Consider the following 9,005-nt stretch of genomic DNA (forward strand, 5'->3'; position numbering starts at 1 on the left):
ACTTGATGGCACCAGTGGCCTCTCCGGGCCTGGCCCCACCAGCGGCCAGTGTCTCCTTGTCCAGCCCTGCTGCACTTGGATGTAGCACCTTTGGGTGGCAGCAAGTGTGGCAGGGTGGGAAGGTGCCCCACATGCATTGAGGGCCACCATGGTGTGGGGCAGAAGGAGGCAGGTGTTTGCACCAAGCTAGGCCACCTCCTCAGGCCTAGAGCCATGTAGCTCTGGGTCCTGGCATGACCGCTTTGTCCTAAGAGCGAGTCCAACCTAGTCCTGACAATGAGGAACAAAGGGCTGAACACCTGAAAGGTAAATGAAGCCCCACATGAAAATGGGTGGAACAGTTAGCAGCTGGCAGTCATCCAGTGGTTGTGGTTGGTCTTCATTCCACCAGACCTTAATGTGGGAAGTGAGAAATGGTAGAATGACATGCCACAGTTGGTCCACTGGAAAGGCCCACCACCGTTTGGGAAGATTGGCCATTTATAGACAGGCTGTGTATATAATATGAAAAAGATGCTCTCAACAATCCTTCCAACCTTTTAAAAGAAAAATTTGCTACATCTAGCCTTTCTAGATGAAAAGAGGTTGCTGACATATGATAGAGTTAGAAAACTACACATCCTGTAAAAGCCCACTTGTTTAAAAATATCATAGAAATTAAGGGTATTCTGAAAGTGACTTTTTGAAATAGAGTTGTTAGACCGCCTCTGGAAGTGACACAAGGAACCACACATGTCCATGTTGGTTCAGTGGGTTAGAGGATGGAGGACGTGGAGCAGAAGACTTAAGAAGGAAAGAAGAAGGTTCATGCCAGACTAGTCATATTTAGAAGACATTTTCATATTATAACCATTGTTTTGTATGTGCATTTTATTCCTCACTACTGTATGTATAATTGACAATGATAAGAACTTTTTGAAATATCTTCATGGATGTTCAGGAGTGCCTGATATATGTTGAAAGTAGAGGAGGTAAAAGAACACATTTTGTAAATATCTTTAAAAAATTCATATAAAATGCTTTTTTCAGTGGGGGCAAGGATGGCCAAACCTTTTGAGTAATATACATTGTGTTTGTGCACTGGTTCAAGGGAGAAGGGAGGACAAATGCAATGAGCTGTATGCCAGTGCACCTGTAGTGAGGCACAATTAACCATTGTCTCTTATGTCTATGCATTTTGTTTTACTTATCTGTGTATGTAGTGTATATAAAGGACAAACAAGTCCTAATTTACAATATTTAGTCTTTCTAGATGTTAAAGAGGTTGCTAGTGTATAAAAAGAGTTAGTAAACTAATATATCAAATATATTTTGTCTTAAAATTTACAGGAAAGACTGCTGTTAAAAACACTTAGGAAATGAAATGTTAAAATCCCTCCTAAACATTACAGATGCTTATGACTGGCCACTAGGTTGAGAGAGGTGGAAGGGGAAAGGGCTGTTGGCCAAATGTTCCTATTTAGAAGATACTTTCAAATTATAGTCTTTGTTATGTATGTGCATCACTTATTTAATGCTGGCTTGAGTGGAAAACTGAAGTCCTATTTGAAATACGCAGTGTTTCTAGATGTTTAAAAGTGTGTTAAAAGTAAAGGGCTAAAGTCACATCCTTTACTTATTTTTTTTTGTTATTTCATAAGAGTGGTTGCATTTGGGGAGTGGCTGCATTTAGATATGAGATTGTTAAAGTTGATGTTTTGGAGAGTATGCTGACTGTTCACTGGGTGGTGGCAGGTGGAGGGAGGAGAAAGGATGAGGAGAGAAGGATTATGTGCCCATGAGTTAGGTTAGTCCAGAGGGTTGAACCATTGTACTCTATGTGCATTTTAGTTAATATTGCTGTGTTTAAAGGATAAACAAGTCCTAATGCTCAAAGTATGTTATAAGTAGAGGTAGTAAAATCACTCCTTTATAAATGAATCTTTGTTAGTTTTTAGGAAGCACTGTCTTCTGGGAGTGACTTTTCTTAATCCACCTCTTGGAGGTAGGCATAGTTCTTTACTTAGTCACTGGAATGCTGGAAGATGGAGAAGAGGAAGGGTGAATGGAAGGGCTCTTTGCTAGTATCTCCATATCTACAAGGTGGTTTTAGATTATAACCATAGGTCTATATGTGCATATTTAGTAAAGTGCCTGTGTTTACTGGGATCAAAATTCATTATTATTTTACAACATCTAGACTTTATAGATGTCTGGAGGTGACAGTACATGATAAAAAGTAGAGTTAGAGAATTAGCCAGTTTGTAAACATCTTTTTGTTATAATTGATAGAAAAGATGCATCTTGGACAAGGGATTGTTAAATAATTTCTGAGCAGTATATGTGAGAACTTGTGGATTAGGTTGGCAGTAGAGGGGCAAAAGGAAGCACAAAGGGAGAGAAGTATGAGATGTGTTCTTATTTACATTCTGACAAAAGCTATTGATGTATGTGCATGTCTTTGGCTGGACTATAGGAATACATTAAGTAATCAATGAAATAATACCTTCTTGCTAATATTTTAATGGTAAGGTCTCATAATAAATTTTCTTAAAACATTATACTTAGTATATCCTGTTGCTTTGTGTTTCATTTTAAATTGAGCTTTAAGGGAATGCGGTATTTTAATCAGAATTCTGCCAATGCTTTTATCTAGAACACTGTTGCCATTTTGTCTTCTATCAAGTCTTTGTTCCAAGAAACACAGGATTACATTTTTTTTCTAACAGATTGAGTTAGTGTAATATATTCTTGGTTATCAAAATACTCATATAGCTTTGGGATTTTGAATTGGTAAGTATGTATGATGTGTGAAAAAACATGATACATTTTGTGTGATGTTAATGCCATAAAATTGGATGTTTTGTCTAAACACATACAGGACCTAGAAGGACATTTGAAAACTGTAAACAGCTTCTGATTGTGGATGAGTTTTTTCTTTGCTTCTTGTGTTTTTCAGTTTCCTATAGTGCACACGTTAACTTTAAAAAATAAATATTATATTTTAAAAACCAAAAAAAGAAGTTTACACAGTTCTAGAGGCTGGGAGGTCCAAGAGCATGGCACTGGTATCTGACAAGGACCTTCATGCTGCATTATCCCTTCTTTTTTCTTCTTCATTCTTCTCTTGTAGAAGGGCAAGGGTAAAAGTAAGAGATAATGAGGGCTGGGCTCACTTTTATAACAACACACTTTTGTGAAAACAAACCCCCTCCTGTGATAAAAACATTAAGCCACTATTGTGGGTGGAACCTTCATGGCCTTATCACCTCTTAATAGTCCCACTTATTAATACAACCACAATGGTGATTAGATTTCAACTTGAGTTTGGAGAGGACATTCAAATCATGGAATCAAGGTGGAAGAAATGTAGAATTGCATAAAGATAGTTCTACTGATATGGTTTCATTGGGAGAGATTCCAATTTCAAGGCGTTAGTTCAAAGGGCTGCAAATGGCTTTAAGAGTTTGCTTGGTTGCTTGAATAAAACGTGGCCACAAAGTAACCTAGAATAATGAAGTTGGAATGCCAAAACAAGTAGTGCAAATAGAGAGAGGAGACTGATAAACAGTAGAGAAAAGAGATTGGAGTGCTAGAGTGGATTATTGCAAGTCCTGCCCACCTACCCCTTCCTGTGTCCTCGAGGAGGGTTAACAGAATATGCCCTTTATCAAAGATGTGGAAATAAATTCATGAAGGAAGCACTCAGCATCCTTGAAGCGTTCCATGGTGGTTCTTTACTGGTCAAGAGTTAGGGTGAAAACTGCTATCATCAAACTGGAATTCCTCAAGTCAGTGCAGATGGTGGCACTCTGGGATGGTAGTGGTGGCGCTTGTTTGCCACAGACAGGGTGAATTTGGTTACTGTAATAAACAATAAAGCCAAAGCAGTAATCAGAACAGTCTGACTTGCAGAGATCTTTAGCGTTGGCTAGTTGATAATGGCATTCCTAAAACTGAATAGATAGTTATACTACTAAACTCTTACTTACTCTGTATAGGCAGAAAAGCTCTATGTCTAGTGAAGAGAGGTCTGATTTGAGTCATTTAAACAGAAAGTTAGGTCTCAATCAATTTCAAGGCATGAACTTTTTCACAGACTCAGAGCCCCTTTAATGTTGGTGAGCCCAAGTTCCCTTGAAGAACGTGCAAGGTTCTTTTGAAGGACTCTTCTATACTGCCAAAAATCTATATGGTTAATCTTCCTCCCAGCCTTCCATGCAGCTGTGCACTGAGGAAGTTAAAATAATCAGAATTACTGGAGGATCACTGGACACTGGCTCTGAACTGATACTAATTCCCAGAGACCCAAGCATCACTGTCGCCCACCAGTCAGAGCAGGGGCTTATGGAGAATCAGGGGACCAGTGAAATTTTGGCTCAGGTCTATTGCAGTGTGCCCAGTGGATCCCTGAATTGATCTTGTGGTTATTTCCGAAGTTCTGGAATGAATAATAGGAAAACATTACTCCACAGTTGGTAGAGTCCTTATATTACTTCCCTGACTCATGAAGTGAGGGCCATTATTATAGAAAAGGTCAAGTGCAGGCCACCAGGACTGCCTGTATCTCCAGAAATAGTAAGCCAAAGAGAAATACTGCTTTCCTGAAAGATTGTAGAGATTAGTACCCACCAAATCTCTATTGAACTTAACTAGCTGACATGTCCAGAATACAGATGGATCTTAATAATGACAGAGAATATATAATTACCCTAAAATTAATCAGACAATGACTCCAATTGTAGCAAAGAAAATTGCCATTAGGTAACCCAGAATTATCAAAATTTAGATATCACCTGGTTGACCACTGGCTCTAGCTCCCTCTCAAGACTCCATTCTCAAATGACTAAAAGTTCTTATCTTCTCAGGTCGAGGGACATGGAGTGGAGGGACAAACATGTATATGGCAGAAAGCCCTATCTAAAGATACAGAGAAAACAAAGTGAGTTGCTATGTCCTAATAATTCTCCTGGGCCAATATTCCCAGATCTGGCTAACAAAACAGGTACCAAATAAGAGATTTGGAATCACAGCTGCTGTGCTGTAAGTTCCAGCCAGCCACCAGGTCCAAAATTGTCCCCATTGATATGTAAATGAGAATAGCAATTGCCATGAAGACTTGGGATACATTTGGATTTTACAAGTGGACATTAGAACTCCCATATATAGACTTGGGCCAGATAGCTCATTAACCTTACAATAATATAATCCCACATTTTATGGAGTTAAAATTTTTGAAACCATCTATTGTGTTGTGGCAGAGTTTAACGATAATACTATAATTCAGGAAAATTTGTCATTTATAAAATTAATCCAAAATTAATAGTTCTATTTTTAACACTAATAGAAAAATAATGAGAATATACCCTTCACAATTGCAACTACAAGAGAGAAAATATCCAGTAATAAATTTCTTCTATCAGAAGAAAACTTTATAACACTTTTGTTTACTTCCTCAATGAATAAAAGTGTTTCCACCACGAAATGCTTCAAGGATGCTGAGCGCTTCCTTCATGAATTTATTTCTCACATCTTTGATAAAGGGCACATTCTGTTGACTCTCCTGGAAGACACAGGAAGGGGGTAGGTGGGGAGGACTTGCAATATCCTTCACAATATTTCTTCACAATATTAAGAAAGAAAAGTCTTAATATTGTGAATATGTCAATTCATATAAAATAATCTATCGGTTGACTATATCTAGTTAAATACTACTAAATAACTTTAGATTTCTATTTTGTACATGGTAGGGGGTGGAATTTGACAAAATGATTTGAAACCCAGATATCAGTTAGAGCTTTCTAAACCTTTTAGCTATGTTTAGAATTGCCTCAATCTAATTTTATAATCTAAGAAAACACTAAACCTTTCCAAGATTTCTGTAAATTCCTTGGGTCTATATTCCCATGATATTATTGTTTTTGGGCCTTATATGTTCAATTAATGTATTTTTTTTCTACAGCACATTGATCTCACTTTGATATTCAGCTCCCCTTTAGTTTCTACAGCTAAAATCAGTCACATGAAGAATTTGTATGGAGATTCTTTAAAAAACTAAAAATAGAACTATTATAAGATACAGCAATCTCACTGCTGGGTATATATCTAAAAGAAAGAAAATCAGTATATCCAAGAGATATCTGCACTCCAATGTATTTACAGCATTACTCACAATAGCCAAGATATGGAGCATATCTAAGTGTCCATCCACATAAAGAAAATATGGTGTATGTGTGTGCATATACATATATATACACACAATGGAATATTATTTAGACATTAAAAAATGAGATCCTGTCATTTGCAGTAGCATGGATGGAACTGGACGACATTATGCTTAGTGAAATAAGCTAGGCACAGAAAGACAAAGATTGTACATTCTCACTCATATGTGGGAACTAAAAAAGTGGATCTCGCAGAGGTAGAGAGTAGGACTGTGATAACCAGAGGCTGGGAAGGGAGAGCAGGGGATGAAGAGAAGTTGGTTAATGCAGTGGTCCCCAACCTTTTTGGCACTAGGGACCAGTTTCATGGAAGAAAATTTTTCCATGGATGGTGAAGGGGAGGGGGATGGTTTCAGGATGAAACTGTTCCACCTCAGATTATCAGGCATTAGTTACATTCTCATAAAGAGTGCTCAACCTAGATCCCTCACATGTGCAGTTCACAATAGGGTTCATGATCCTATGACAATCTAATGCCACCACTGATCTGACAGGAGGCGGAGCTCAGGCAGTAATCCTCGCTCACCAGCTGCTCACCTCCTGCTGTGCAGCCCAGTTCCTAACAGGCCACGGACCAGTACCAGACTGCAGCCTGGAGGTTGGGGCCCCCTGAGTTAATGGGTACAAAAATTCAGTCAGATAAAAGGAATAAGTTCTAGTATTTGATAGTACAGCAGGAAAATTATAATTAACAGTAATTTATTGTATATTTCAAAATAGTCAAGAAGAAAATAATTGTAATGTTCCCAACACAAAAAAGATAAAAGTTCGAGGTGACAGATATCCCAAATACCCTGATTTGATTTTTACTCATTGTGTACATGTATCAGAATGACACATGTACTTCAAAAATATGTACAACTATGATGTCTCAATTAAAAAGACAACAATAACAACAATTTGTATATTCAGCTGGCTTTAAAAATCAGAATAGCACGCAGAAGGACTTTTATCACATCAATGTACTGCTTCTTATTCAATCCCTTCAGATTGCTTCCCCATTCCAAAGTCCCAAATTGGAGATGTAAAGTCAACAAGATGGCTGTTTAGACCCTCCTAGTGTCCCTTCCTTACCACAAAAAGCCCAAAACAATGAATTTACAACCATATTTTGACAAAAAAAATAAAATAAAGGAGAGCACTGGAGAACAAGAAAGAAACAGCTAAAATCGGGCAAAGCACAGAAACTCAGGATGATCACATAGAGAAAGGAAGGAGACACCTCACCTCTGCCACACCCTTGCCGCTCACAATCAAACCCCCTAGGAGCTAGGAGGGACTTCTTCCTGTGAAGAAAAGCAAGCAAGAGGACCCAGAAGCCCCTATCACAGCTGTGGACACCTTCAGTCTTCACTGCTGGACACCGCTGCCATCCTCGCAGGTTCTGAGCCCAACTGAGGGAGCTCCCTGGAGTCTAAATCCTGGGCTACGCCCAGAGAAAAAGCAGACACTGTGCCCCACCCCTCTGTGGCCTGTGCTGCTACTACTCTGTGCCCTCTCAGAATCTGAGCCACTGCTAGGGTGTGGCCTGCTCTGGGAGTGAGTAGCCACTGAATCTCTCCATCCTGGAGGTTTAGCCAGCACTATACCACGCTCAGTAGCGAGCCATCATGGGGCAAAGCTGATGCTATAACCTGACCACTAGGGCCAAGCTACCACAGAATGACTTTGTCCCCTATCCTAGTCGCTGGTTTACCCTCTCCTTAGGGCTGAGCAGAAGCGATGTCCCACCTCTGGTGACTTGAAGCCTAGAAATTCCAGAGCAGTCATACCCCTGGTGCCACAGCTGAGGCAGCATCCCACCCCCAGGACTACCCAGCCTCCTTCACATCAGAGCAGTCACATCCCCTTGGTGCCACAGCTGAGGCAGCACTTTGCTCCTAGGCACCCCAGGTCTGCTGCACACCACAGCAGTTGCGCCCCTTAGCACCACAGCTAAGGCAGTGACCCACTCCCTGTGATCCAGGGACTCCACTGACTCATGTAGCCAGGCTTTCCGGGGCCAAGCAGACATGGTGACTCACATCCTAGGGAATCAGAGCCTTGGCTGAACTGTGGCACTCCACAGTCCAGGACAAACAGTCATAGTCTCCTGCCTACCTGGAGCTGGACTAGGGTCCCATAGCCTGAACTGCTGAGCACCCTGCCTCTATGGGAAGTGGAGTCATTGCTGCACTGCTCCCCATCACCCCACTTCCCCCTTGGGCACAGCCACAGTGACATATTGACATTCCTGGGTTCTTACTGCTGTTGCACTTGACCTCACAGAGCCTGGACTACTGTCATGTCCCATCATCCTAGGGCCCAGAGTCACCACAGCATGGTACTTTATCACCCAGAGTCCGAGCTGTCACTATGCTCTCTTGGATCCTCAGTACTGAACTGCAGCTGTGCCTTGCTCCTGGGGACCAAACCCTGCTACAGTGTGTCTTGCTCTGGGAGTGAGTAGCCACTGCACCTCTCTGTCCTGGAAGTTTAGCCAGTACTATACCACAATAGCAAGCCATCCTGGGGCCCTCCAGAGCACTCATTCTTTCCCAGAGCTATGCCAGTGTTGTGCCCCTCCCCACCAGGCTCAGAACCACAGCTATATCACAGCCCCTTGGGCCCAAGCTCCTGGGGTGTGCCTCAGAGCAGCAGACCCCAGGTTAGTGGGAGAACAGCATTCACTCATGCTTTGGAGAGTAAACTGGCACCTCAAGTCCCTGGCGCTACATTAGTTTTATAAGACCTCAAGCCCAGGAAACCAGCTTTGCAGCTGCTCTGAATATCTATGCCCTGGATTCTAGTGCCATTGTCACT

General features: G+C 41.0%; 1 long non-coding RNA gene across 1 annotated transcript in view; it reads right to left on the bottom strand.

Moving 5' to 3' along the window:
* LOC105374715 (uncharacterized) overlaps positions 1-7,599 on the bottom strand; it is a 41,147-nt gene extending 33,548 nt beyond the window's left edge. Inside the window, exon 1 of the long non-coding RNA NR_188269.1 lies at positions 7,431-7,599. This is a non-coding gene — a long non-coding RNA (uncharacterized LOC105374715). The remainder of the gene's footprint in view (positions 1-7,430) is intronic.
* Between the last annotated feature and the right edge of the window lie 1,406 nt (positions 7,600-9,005).

Source organism: Homo sapiens, chromosome 5 (assembly GCF_000001405.40).
Source record: "Homo sapiens chromosome 5, GRCh38.p14 Primary Assembly".
NCBI classification, from domain to species: Eukaryota; Metazoa; Chordata; class Mammalia; order Primates; family Hominidae; genus Homo; species Homo sapiens.